General features: G+C 38.9%; 1 long non-coding RNA gene across 2 annotated transcripts, besides 1 other annotated feature; it reads left to right on the plus strand.

Moving 5' to 3' along the window:
- The first annotated feature begins 407 nt into the window (after positions 1-407).
- LOC105369904 (uncharacterized) lies at positions 408-6898 on the plus strand. Of its 2 annotated transcripts, XR_945210.3 has the most exons (4): positions 408-933; positions 2192-2234; positions 2823-3038; positions 6228-6898. It is a non-coding gene; the product is annotated as an uncharacterized LOC105369904 (long non-coding RNA). The 2 variants fall into 2 exon arrangements; XR_007063405.1 differs by lacking the exon at positions 408-933 and having other exon boundaries at positions 1062-3038.
- Positions 11110-11310: a silencer, noted in NCBI's record as "peak1884 fragment used in MPRA reporter construct". NCBI's record gives its function as "represses an SCP1 promoter by STARR-seq MPRAs in K562 erythroleukemia cells {active_cell/tissue: K562}" and the evidence as "EXISTENCE:reporter gene assay evidence [ECO:0000049][PMID:32103011]".

Genomic DNA, 13270 nt, shown 5'->3' on the forward strand with positions numbered 1-13270 from the left:
TTGTTCAGACTGGTCTTGAACTCCTGCACTCAAGCGATCTGCCCACCTCAGCCTCCCATAGTGCTGGGATTACAGGCATGAGCTACTGCACCCAGCCCCTCTCTTTTATTTTTAAGGGCAGAAAAAGACGAAGTGAGAAAGGAGCCTCCCTTATCCTCCTCCTCTTTCCCCTCGCAGTCCAGCATCAAAACACTCATTCTTAGGATGGAGCAGGGGTGGAAAAGTGCAGGAACATTAGGCCTTGTCTGTGTATTGGCTCCGTTAGGAGCTATTGTTGCTCAGCAGCTGTTCCTCTTGCTTCTTAGGAAGCCCTGCCTGCAAGTGGGCTGGGGAACCAGTGTGACACTGGCAGCTGGGGGAAGTGGGGAGGAACATCGAATATTTTTTCACCATGAGAAAGATGGGCTTTGTTTCTCAAAAAAGAACAGAGATCCTGTTTCTGGGTAGCTGTTATCAGAAACTGGTTTTAATAAATACAGTTGGAGAGTGAAAGTAAGAGTGTGTGTGTGTGTGTGCGCGTGCGTGTGTGTTTTGGGGGCGGGGGATAGAAGAGAAAGAGAACATAAAGTCACAACCTACTCAACCTTTAATCCTTTTTTTAAGGTAGGAAAAGCTGAAAAATTTCAGCCAAATGAAAAGCATAAAGTGGTTGAGAAAGGCTTTATGACTAAGAGAGGATTGCAATGGAAAATACGTAAAAAGAGAAGTTAAACCAGCTGGCTTATTTAATTTTGACTCCCCACTCCCCCTTTCACTTTTTTTTTTACCTTCAGCCTAAACTAGGGAAAAATGTACTGTGTAAATATTCAGTGTTTTTCTTAGTTTTTATCCCTAACAAAATTTTTTACAGGACTTAGTTTAGTGAATCTCCAGAGACTGGGTGTGAACGTGACTTTTCACCCCTGGGTCACGGGTCACTTCCTGCTTCTTCTTGTAAGTAAAAGCTCTTACTATTCCATGGGTCTGGCTGTACCCAGAAGTGGGGGTAGGGGTGAGGGATGGGAGGGTGGAGTGGGGGATGGGGGAAAACTCAATGCCTATTCATTTCTCACATTATTTTATTGTCAGGAACATTTCTCCTCCCATACTAAAGAGCTAAATGTCAAACTTCTATTCCAAAGTACATGAATAAATTAATACATTCCTAGTGTATGAATTTATTCATGCATTCAATAAACATCATCGAAGCACTGTCAATGTACTAGGCATTGTGTTAAGCACTGGGAAAACAAAGATAACTAAAATATATTCCCTGTCTTCTACATCTTCAAACAAACAGGAGAGACAGATTCTAGAACAGTAATTACAGCAATTACAGTAAGTACTGTGAAAAAAAAAGAGCAAAAAACATGTAACTCTGCCCAGGAAGGGCAACGAAGACTTCCAGGAGGTGGTGGTATTGGAATTGATTTTTGTGAGCTAAGTAGGAACAACCAGAAGGCCAGGAAGAGGAATGGCATTTCAGACAGAGGGAGTGGCCATGGAAAAACCTTGTTTTCACTTTGGGTAACGAGCAGTCTTTAATGTTTTACTCTGACTAGGGTTCTGGGAACTTAGGACAAAAAAAAAAAAAGGTGGGATAGGATAGAATTGGCCCATGAAGTTTAGAGTTGAAACCAAGGATCCCCAAAAGGCAACATCCAGAGATAAAAATACACTTAATCCCTAGTGGAAAATAACACCTACACATCATCCTAAGGGCACCAAGTAAAAAGAAAAAAAAAAATGCAGCAACTGGAGGCAGCACAAGTTTGGAGCTGTGAGGAGGGAAGTCTGGAGCTGTTAGGAAGAAGCCCTGGCACAGAGCTATAAGGGACTTTTAGAGGTACCGTAAGGCCCATCTGGGGTGGGGCACTGCAGTGTTAAAGACGCAGAACCTGTTCAGGCAAGAGTGGAAGCAAGAGGACGCATACCACAGTCTGGAATTGACAGTCATCCTGACAGATGCCCTGACAATTGAAAAAGATGGTAGAAAAGGGGGAGTCAGGGGCTACATCCTCAGGAGCCTTGAACATCATCTTCCCAGCAGGGATTTCCCAAGGGTAACATGGGTACCACTGGTAAGAACCAATGTGTCATTACATGGTACACAAACAATGTTTTAAAGACTTGTAGTAGATATGTACTGATTTTCTAGTTTTATACAAACTAGAAAAAATGTGTAACTAACACGAAATCTGCAATTACACAGATAGGAAGATTGCTTAAGAAGAAGCTAATATAAAAGCACCATGGTGAGTTGATCTTTTTTAAAAAAAATAAGAATATACCAAAAGAGGTGCTACACAAATATAGCAAAAATTGAGAAGGTAGTCTATAAATGACCGAAATTTGAAAATAGTGGCAGTAGGCAGTGGAGAATCTCTGAAAAGTGTAAGCATTGGACTCTATTTTGTAATGTTGCTCTTTTGGGGAAGGGGAGACTAAAGATACCGATTAAGGGAGGTTGTATTTATTGTCCAGAACCACAACGGACTCTGCATAGTTTTCAGGTTCATATTTCAAGATAAACTCTAATTTCAATCCTGAAGTACTTGGACAAGTCTTTAAGAACCTCTTTTTACTAATTTGAAATGTCCATAGCTTTATTTTCATCTTAAGTAACTTAGTGTGTATATTTACATGAATAATTTTATTAGAAACGTGCAGTGCTCAAAATGATTTTTATGGTGTAGGATAGTAGGGGAAAAAGCTATTGAATGTTGGATAGATCTGTGTCTTTGTAACAATTTGGTCAATCTGATTTACATAGACCCTAGTGTCTCATTTTGTGCTTAGGTCTGGTACATTTTCTATTAACCATGTTTTTTTATTTTCTGTAGTTCATGATGCTTTGACATCTTGGGGCATCTTGCAGACCAGGGATGGACTGCCCCTCCCAGGTTTGGCTAATTCCTGGAGATACTAAACAACTCGGCTTAGAACACATCTTTTATATGCAAGACAACAAATCCAGGCTCCATACCCTCATCTCATCCTTTTATCAGGCTCCTCCAGCACAGAACATTATCCTCCTGCTCTAAGTCACCCAGAGCCAGGTACTGGACAATTAGAGACCACTCTTGTAGCTCAGAGCCTGTCCAAAGGGTCCAAACTCTTCAATCCGAAACCTCAGCTCAGCTGCTTACCCTGCCTCGCCAATTCCTTCCCATAAAACCCTAAATAAAGGCTGTTGCCCCAGCTTTCCCCTCAATCTTTCTGCCCTCAAAGCAATCCTGGTGCTTCCCCATATGCTCCATTCTCTTGGCAACTATAAATAACAAATTCTTCTTTCAAGGAAGTTGTCTATGTGTCTATCACCTTACCATACCTAGTTTAAACAAAAATCCTAGGTATAGTTTAAAACATATTAAGGGCAGGGCATGGTGGCTCACACCTGTAATCCCAGCACTTTGGGAGGCTGAGGTGGGGGGATCACGAGGTCAGGAGTTTGAGACCAGCCTGGCCAATATGGCAAAACGTCAACTCTGCTAAAAAAAAAACAACAAAAATTATCTGGGCATGGTGGCAAGCGCCTGTAGTCCCAGCTACTCGGGAGGCTAAGGCAGAAGGATCACTTGAACCCGGGAGGCAGAAGTTGCAGTGAACTGAGATCGTGCCACTGCACTCCAGCCTTGGTGATGGAGTGGACTCCATCTCAAAAAAAAAAAAACACACACACACAAAAACACCATACTAAGGAAACTCAATTTGTAAAAATTTGTTAGATAAATGAATGAATGAATATCTTCACTCACTTAAAACATGTCTCTCTATGACCTTATTAAAAGTGTTCTTATGTGATTAAAAGCTGTTTACATTAGCTATCTATGGTCATCATTCTCTCATGCAATCAAGCTCAGAATTTGTGAGAAATTTGGGCTCAGAGTAAATTACACATCGCAAAAACAATACAAAGAAACTATGGCCTGCAAGGCAGTGTTGTTCCTTGGTTTCAGGAAGACATCCAAAGAGGAATTTTCCCTGGCCAATACACCCATTTTGCTGTCTTCCTGTGTGAGGTATTATTTTTATATGCCAGGGTGGTTAACTGCTCTAACAAATAACCATAAATTTCAATTGCATAAGAGAATAAAATTTATTTCTTAATCACTAAAATCCAGTGCAGGTGTTCATAGTTGGACAGCTCTCCTGGCTGTCTGCATGACTCACGAATCAGTAATTCTTTCATCTTGTGATGCTGCCATTTTTACAACGTGGTCTCCAAGGTCACTAGAGAAGGTGGCAAATTATGGAAAAAGTCATATCAGACACATACCCAACTTTACACCAAGAGCCAATCAAAATATCTGCATACATTCTATTGGTCAGAAGTGGTCACATGACCTTCCATAGATGCACAAGGACAAGGAAATACAGTCTGTGGCTGGGCTGCACTTACCAGCAACCACCCTTCCAGAGGAAACAGGAGCCCAAACCTTTGGAAGTCAGCTATCCTTTTCCACCAGTTCAAGATGTATTACCCAGAACTGCATTCTGGTAATGGAGCAACTACAATTGGTCAAGTGATTATGTAAATCAGTGGTTCTTAACTTTTAAAGGATCATGAATCCAATAAAACTGTACAGATCTCCTTCCTAGAAAAATACATAAACATAAGCACTCACAATCTTCATGGAATTTCAAAGGCTTCGTGGATTCTCTGAAGCCCATCTGTTACGATCATTAGAGAGTCATAGACCTATACTTTTGGTGTAGGTGAAATTATTTATTTCAGAAATTTGTTTTGAACAGTCTTATAAATCATAAACCATGGGCCAATTTAAATCTGATTTCTTAAAATCTGCTGCTAGATTGGGGTCTAATTTTTTTTTAATTAATTGCTAGAATGAATGAGATCCAGAATATTAGTTGTGTGCCATCCAACTTTCAGATGCCAATTTTGCACTGAGCAGAAATCCTTATTGCTACTACTGCAAAAGACTTTTGTTGGTATCCTGCCATCCATTTGCTGCTCTCCAATCCTTTCACATGACAACCAGAGTGACATCTAAAAATTCAAATTTTTTCATGTCATTCTCTTCTAAAAATCTTTCAGAACATGAAGACCCAAACCCTTGACATGGCATACAAGGCCTTGAGTACACTAACCCAACCTGCTTCTCACACTGTGTGCGCCTTTGCTTTTTATGCTCGTACCCAATTGGCCTTTCTTTCCCTTCCTCCCACCTCAGGGTCTCTGAACATGCCTTGTACCTCCTTTGAATTGTCTTCCCTTTATTCTCTTATATAGTTAGCTGCCACTCTTCCTTGAGATCTCAGCTCAACTGTCATTTTCCCAGAGAAGTCTTTACAGAGACGCAGAAGAAGTCAGATCTCCTACATGGTCTTAGAGCACTGTAAATTTTTCTCTCCTGGTGTTGATCATGGTTTATACCAATATGCTTGTGTGATTATTTAATTTGCATGGGTCACTGTCACTAAAAGGTAAGCTCCATGAGGGCAGAAACTTTCAGCACCTAATGACACAGCTCAGCACCTGGCTTAGTGCATGGAGCATAATGGCACTCAATATTTTGTTGAGTGAATGAATGAATGAATGAATGTTGCACATGCTTTCCACTATATCTTGGAGAGAGGGAAGATAAGTGATAAAGGGTCTTGAAACCAAATTATCTTCTCATTCTGAGAAGTGAATAGAATAACCAAGTCAGTGTTTGGCATAATTTTAAAGAACTTCACAGTTAGGCAATGACTTTTACTCTACTCCATTGTAACCTCTGCTCTTAGATATCTTCCAAATCAATTAAAGAAAAAAAAGACAGCAAAATCTGTGTTCATCATTTCATATCGGCACCAGATGAACAGCTCATTGATGGAGTAAGGGCAGTCGAGGGGGAGTGTCATAAAAAGACAATTCTTTTTATGGTAAGCAATATGCTATTTATTAGCAAGTAGTATACTATTGGGTCAATACAGGGAGGCTTCCTGGAAGAGATAGTCTTTGAGTTATATATAATCTGAAGGTCTCTTCATGACACCTCTTTTTTGAACTATATTTGATACCCTGAGTGCCAACAAAATATTTTCCCACAAATCTTGCTCCTCAGATTTTCTGGTTTGTTGTCACAAAGATAAAGCTATAAATTATGAGAAAGACTGGCAAGACTTGGGTTGAGCTGGCATTGTAGTCCTCCAGCAGAGAACAAGATATTAAACAATTGTGTTTCATATTTCCTCTAATAGATTGTATTATTTTTCAAAATATCCACTGTCTCTCCATTTAGGAGAATTTTACCCTCTTGTCAGTCTTGGCCATGTGATTTCATCTGGCAAATGACATGGGAGTGGAAGTGACATGCCCAGAAGATTTGAGAGCTGTGGTGAGATCCCATCATTTCCCTTCTGACACAAGGCACACCACATCCCCAGATGGAGGTATTCTGTCAATCTGGATCCCAAAGTGAAAAGGATGAAGGACAAAGTCACAACTGATGGAGAGCCATCATGGAAGATGAGGAAAATATTAGCTTTACTCTTACAAAGCACTGAGATTTGAGGGTCACTTGTTCTTGCAGCATAGCCCAGCAAAGAATGACCGATACACTTTTCTTCACAAAACCTCTGTCTAATTGAACTCAAACTCTGAACCATACGCTGAATGAAAGAATGGTCCGTTCCTATTTCGATAGGTCAACCCTCATTTTTATAAGTGCACAGCTTCAGGAAGGCACACATGCAGTCATGAAGGGAGAAAGTGGAGTTCTCAACTATTGAAGCCAGTGAGCTAACTTCTGCATTCACCGACATGAAACATGCTGAAGTCTGTTTGCCTTGCAGTTCTCTGCTGGATGTGCCAAGAGGGCTCTATTTTAGAGAAGGAAAACTAACAATAGATTCCCGCCAACTAAAAGGGGATTTCTTTTCCTGGGAAGGAAAAAATAAATGGAAAAAAAGATCTTTATCTGGTGATTTGTACTGAAATGAGAATAGTCAGAGCTCATCATCATATCATTTTTAATAGTAACGTCTCATAGAGAAACATAAAAGAAACTTATTAAAGACAAAAATAGTTTATACAAACTTTTTGCTAAGCATATAAAGTTGAATGCATAACATTCCTTCCTCCTCCAGTCTACCTTCTCCATTCTTGTTTCATTTCCTTTTTTTGTCTTTTTTCCTTATCCTTACCCAAAATATACTCTAGGCCATTTTGGAAGATGCAAGGATGATAGATATGGGTATAATAAATAAATATATCCTTTTATGTATATTTATAAATATATTTTTACATTTTCAAAGCAAAATATAAATTAAACATACACATGTTTCTAGGAGTTCATTCCATACCTCTACAATAGTAAAAGAACGTGCTTAACTGAAAACCTCTAAAGCTTTAAAAATTCTTTGAAAGCCAGTTGAAATTTGAGGGGCTTTGACACTTAGTTTTAAGAATACCAAAGTGCATTTCCATTTCCCGCAGGGTTAGCTGGCCATGAACAACTGCAGTTCAGTTTCATAAGCTTTCCTTGATGCTTGCTAGGACCATAAATTCCACCTTCACATACAATTTGCAGTTTAAAGGTATGAATTATCTTACTAAAGAGCCTTTTTGCTATGAGCTTTCTATTCCAAGGTGAATCCCAGTTAAATGCCCCCTCCTGCCCCAATATTCTTGAATTTGAATTGTGGTGCACATTACCAAGGATTACTCCATATTTTCAGGCAATATTGCTATCCTCCTATATGTGCTCAGTCTAAAATATTCAATGAAAAGTGTATATGCAAAGCTAGCTTTACTATTTAATCACTAAAGTTACCTTTGGGAAGCTGAGTATTGATACACAATGCAGAAATATCAATGATCAGTCCCTGAAACACATTTAAACCAGAAGTAGGAGCAGTTAGATTTATGTACCATGATGTCTGAATTTGCAAAGGTTTTCTGGTAATCTGAAGAGTTGTATTGAGTTACTCTCAGCAACTATTTTACTTTATTTTGTAGCTTTGTAATATAGTAAAAGAGCCCTGGGTGAGGAGTTAGGAACTTAGGGATTGCTAAAAGGATTTTATATGCAATATTTTTGAAATCTAACAAAAAATATAAACAGTTAACAATGTCATGACCATGAATATAATGAACGACTCTTTGTTCTGAATTGCTCTAGTCCAGTATAAAATGTTTATAATTAGGTTGATCTTCACAGAAATTCAAAGTAAATTATGTGTACACGCAGGAGAGAGCTGACTTTCCATAATGGCTCTGTAGTTTAAAATCATCAAAAAAGGGAGTATTGCAAAATGTACCACTCCATAAATACTACAGTTCATCAATTAAGCAATACACTAAACATGTAATGATGATAATTTTCCTGTGTATGTCAACCAGGAAACACACAAGCTGGTTGTTAAGTTGCTTCATCATAAGAATAATGATTGTGTGAGTGCTTGGCTAAGTCATTCTCTCTCCCAGCTTAAACATTAATGGGAAAATAATGGAATTATGGAGCTGGCTCTTTTCTTGAAAGCCAGATGTCAATGTCTTAGGATATCTGTGCTATTAAAAACCTCAAATACCCAATTTGTAACTTTAGATGACCAAGTCACTGAAGGTTAGAACTAAGTGGAATTTTAGACATCTTGTAGTTCATTACTTTCATTTTAATGATATGAACACTGAGGACCAGATAGACAGAGGAACTTGTTCAACATCACAAATCTAGCAATAACAAACATATAGAAAGGACTTTGCCCTCATCTATTGGTTCCTAGTCCAGAGCTTTCCTTTCTGCCATGTCACTTGGAAAATAAACACCATTTTCCAAAACCAAACACAGGAGTAACAAGCATAAAATGTCAACCTTTCAATTAGGATTCAAAACTATAGAATAAACCTTTGAAGTTTCCAATCTAGTAGCAATTTAAAAAGTGAAATCCTACTAGAAATGCCTCAAGTAGGCTCTTCTTCCTCCCGTGCTATGGGGAAAAAAGACTTGCTACTCATGTAGTAAGCTTAATGTTAAGAGAACTCCATAGTTTATTTTCTACTCAGAGTAAACTTGTATTACTCTCACTCATTTGAAATATCCTTAAAGCCAAAGGATTGTACATGAGGTACAAAATAGAAAGACAGAACTTTATAGTAAAAGTTTTTCTCTAAACCAGAGTTGCTGACTTCGTTTGACTTTTCTTTTATCAATTTTAATACATTCATTTTCCTATTACAAAATCTGCATTATGCTGGAACTATTGCTTATGTGTATATGATACACACACAAAACTGAGTCTTATAAACACCCTTGAAATAATTCAGACACACAAAAAATTGCTTTTTGGTCAAGTGACACCTCAAGGGGCCACAGACTCAGTGCTGCCACAGTTCCACACAATGTTTGTTGTTCATGTATTATTCACTTTTTGGAAACTGCCTTTTGAGCAATGAGTTTACACAATTAAATTTGATTTAATTATAGCCACACCCTGTGTTTCACCAAAAGCCTTATCACTTTTGTCACCCATATTTTTGTTTAATCTCAACTCCTGATTATTTCTTCCTATTAAAGAAATAAAATGTATCTTAAAAGGGCAATGATCTGTCACCAATGAAGATCACTTGGAAATAATATTAATCAGGCTCTATAAAATATTTCAAAAAAGGCCAGGTGCACCTGTAATCCCAGCACTTTGGGAGGCCGAGGCGGGCAGATCACAAGATCAAGAGATCAAGACCATCCTGGCCAACATGGTGAAACCTCATCTCTACTAAAAATACAAAATTTAGCTGGGTGTGCTGGTGCACACCTGTAGTCTCAGCTACTTGGGAGGCTGAGGCAGGAGAATTGCTTGAACCCGGGAGGCGGAGGTTGCAGTGAGCCGAGATCGCACCACTGCACTCCAGCCTGGTGACCTAATGAGAGTCTCAAAAAAAAGAAGAAGAAGAAAATAAATAAGTTTTTTTTTAGATTTTTAAAATTGATACACAGTAATTGTACATATTTATGGAGTACGTGTGATGTTTTGATATGTGCATACAATGTGTAATGATCAAATTAGGGTAAAGATATCCATCAGCTCAAACATTTATCATTTTTTCTCGTATTTCAAAGAAAATTTGATTAACTATGGGCAAGAACATTGGAAAAAGCACATGAACATTGGAAAAAGCAAAAAGATTGGAAAAAGCCTTCCAATCTTTACTACAGGAAGAGACTACTTTCATCAGTATGGACACGTCTGGCACACTTCTTATACATCAGTCTTTTTGACTTGAATAATCTACAACATATAACTTATGTTTCCACAGGTGTATTTCTAAACATTTCTTATAGGGTGGTTTGACACCAAAGGTGAAAGAAGTCCTGCTACATGTCCTAGACTATTACTTCTCTTATTTCTTGAGCAAAGAGGGCAGAAATATTCAAGCTGTGTATTAGTCTGTTCTTGCACTGCTATAAAGAAATGCCTGAGACTGGGTAATTTATAAAGAAAAGAGGTTTAATTGGCTCATAGTTTCACAGACTTCACTACAGGAAGCTTAGGGCTTCTGCTTCTGGGGAAGTTCAGGTTCGCTCCAGGAAACATAGCAGCTTCTGCTTCTGGAAATCCTCAGGGAGCTTTTTTACTCATGGCAGAAGGCAAAGTGGGAGTAGGCATCTTACATGGCAGAAGCAGGACCGAGAGAGAGAGGCAGAGAGGTGCCACACACTTTTAAATGACTAGATCTCACGAGAACTTACTCACTATCACCAAAGGTGAAATCCACCCCCATGATCCAATCACCTCCCACCAGGCCCCACCTCCAACACTGGGGGGTTACCATTCGACATGAGATTAGGGTGGGGACACAGATCCAAACCATATCAAGCTGTAATAATTTTCATTTGCTCCATGCAACCACAATGCTAGCAAGTATCAATTTATTAATGCTGAAATATGAACATTCAAACATATATGACTATCATGTACTCTGTGTGTGTGTGTGTGTGTGTGTGTGTGTGTGTGTGTGTGAGAGAGAGAGAGAGAGAGAGAGAGAGAGAGAGAGAGAACAGGGGGTGGACAGTAGTTATCTCTGCTTAATTATCCTCAATAAAAATGTTTCTTCAACCTGCTTCAAGGCAATCATCCCAGCTAACCTGCTCTGAAGCCCTTTGGGGGCATTTGAAGAGGAGAGAAGGCCCTTTGTTCCCCCTTTCAACACTGGGCTAGAGTCTCCTTACCTCTCTCAGATACTCTGACTCAGTACAGGCTGCAGACACTGTAACTCCCTTGATGAGTAAGCTGTCCTTTCCACCTGGAGCTGGGGCTGCTATCTGAACAGGAGAAGAAAAGCTGTGAGTATTACATGAAAAAGGATAGTCCCTTCTTTTCTTAGAACTACACCCCGCCCCCCCCAAAAAAAAAAGGAAAATGAAAAGGGACCCAGGGAAGGGGACCCATATGCCAAGCTGGTGACAATAGAGTGTAAGAGAGGTTATCCAGAGTGGCATCCTGGAGCCATTCTGGATGGGTTTGAATTTTGGCTCTGAGCTTATTTTACAAACTTAGACAAAATCCATAAATCCCCTGTGCCTCAGTTTTCTCATCTATAAAATGAGAATCATAGTGCCTATACTATAGTTCTCATGTCATAGGGTTATTAAAACAGTGCCCAGGACATGGTGAACACTCAGTCATTGCCAATGACTATCATTTACTGAGAGGCTACTGTGTTTCCCAGTGCCCAGTTAATGTAGCACCCACTTCCCTGGGAATTCTCCGGTGAACTTCTACTTTCCAAACCAAAATCAACTCTCAACTAGCTATTTAATGATGGTGTTCTCTTTCTTTGGTTAACACAATCATTCTTTAATAGTACATGTACATAATTTTCATTTTTTATAATGGTTAATTTTACATTCTTAGATATACATGCAAATTCCTTAAACATAAAGAAAATGAAAACTCAACAATGATAAAAACAAATTTACAGCCCTCACTCATTCTCACTACACCTGCATTGTATTCGTTTTTTAGTGTCAGCCAAGATAACTCATGTCTTAAGAGAAAAGACAGGACAGAAACCAGAAGTCATAACAACCCATTATGCCCAACTTCTAAGCCTAGTTATTGAGCTAAATATATACATGCTCTTTGGTATGGCAATAGGGAGAATTGTATACCCTCCCCAGAGTTATGACAGCAGTTATGAAATGCAGATGACTTTGCTGGAGATTGAGTGGGACCAGCGCTAGATACTTCTGGAGCAGTCATGGAAGAAGTGGAGGGCCTACTTAAGGAGTGTGGCTTGAGTTAAGATGTTTCATTCTTCTAAAGTGAAAGGGTAGTGTTATTTTTTTGTTTGTTTGTTTGTTTCCAACCTTCTTTCTGGCTTTCTTCAAGTAGTCTCAGCTCAGGAGCCTAAGTCTAATTCCGGATACTGAAATTTGCACCACAAACCACCACAGGGACAACAGGAATTAATGCCCAGGAACGAATGCTAAATTGCATCAATCTCCAAATTATCTACTCTACTGGAAAGCCCACTTAAAACTAGACTTTTAAAGTAAGTAACATTTTGGAAGGAACCCACAATCCCTTTTTGCATCACCAGGAAAACAGCTTGCCTGTAATCCCCTAATAAAGAAAAAGTCTCGTAGATTAATCTCCCTTAGGCAAGCACTATTACTGGTGTTTTAACTCCATAAGCAAGTCAACTGCAACAAATAAACTAAAAGAATGATAATAAGAATATTATAATTACCACACGCTTTTGCCTTATCAATGTCTTTCTTTCATGAAGTACTTTAAAACTGCTTTAATATATATAAGATCTTTACCTGCTCATCCTTACCCCTACTTCCCAGCAACTCTGATAAGAAATTACTGTCAATAACTCTGAGAAATGTCCAGTGGGATTATTTTGAAGGACATAATTGCAGCTACTGAGAAAGAGACTCAGTGTAATTGAAACTAAATTAGGATTAAATTGTTTTGAGGAGATTGATAATTGTAACTTGGGCTTTAAAATAACTAAACTTACGCCACTAACCTCACCCAGTCCGAGGGCGGATGCATTCCCATACATCTGCTGGAGTGTTTTGATGTATCTTGGAGTATGGCCAATCAGTGTTTTTCCTCCCACATTAGCATACACCTATATTTATCTAAGATAGTTTATTATCTGCACATGACAACACTTACGAGTGCTGCAAAGTTCTATGGAGAAAATTAAGCAGTAGGCCATTGTTGAAAGTCCTGCTTCCTCCCTCTGAGAAGCAAATAATTTAGTATGGCTTTCTCATACATACTGCTTTAACCCTTCATTGCCTTCTTTTAAAGCAGTCCAAACTAA

This window comes from Homo sapiens, chromosome 12 (assembly GCF_000001405.40).
Source record: "Homo sapiens chromosome 12, GRCh38.p14 Primary Assembly".
NCBI classification, from domain to species: domain Eukaryota; kingdom Metazoa; phylum Chordata; class Mammalia; order Primates; family Hominidae; genus Homo; species Homo sapiens.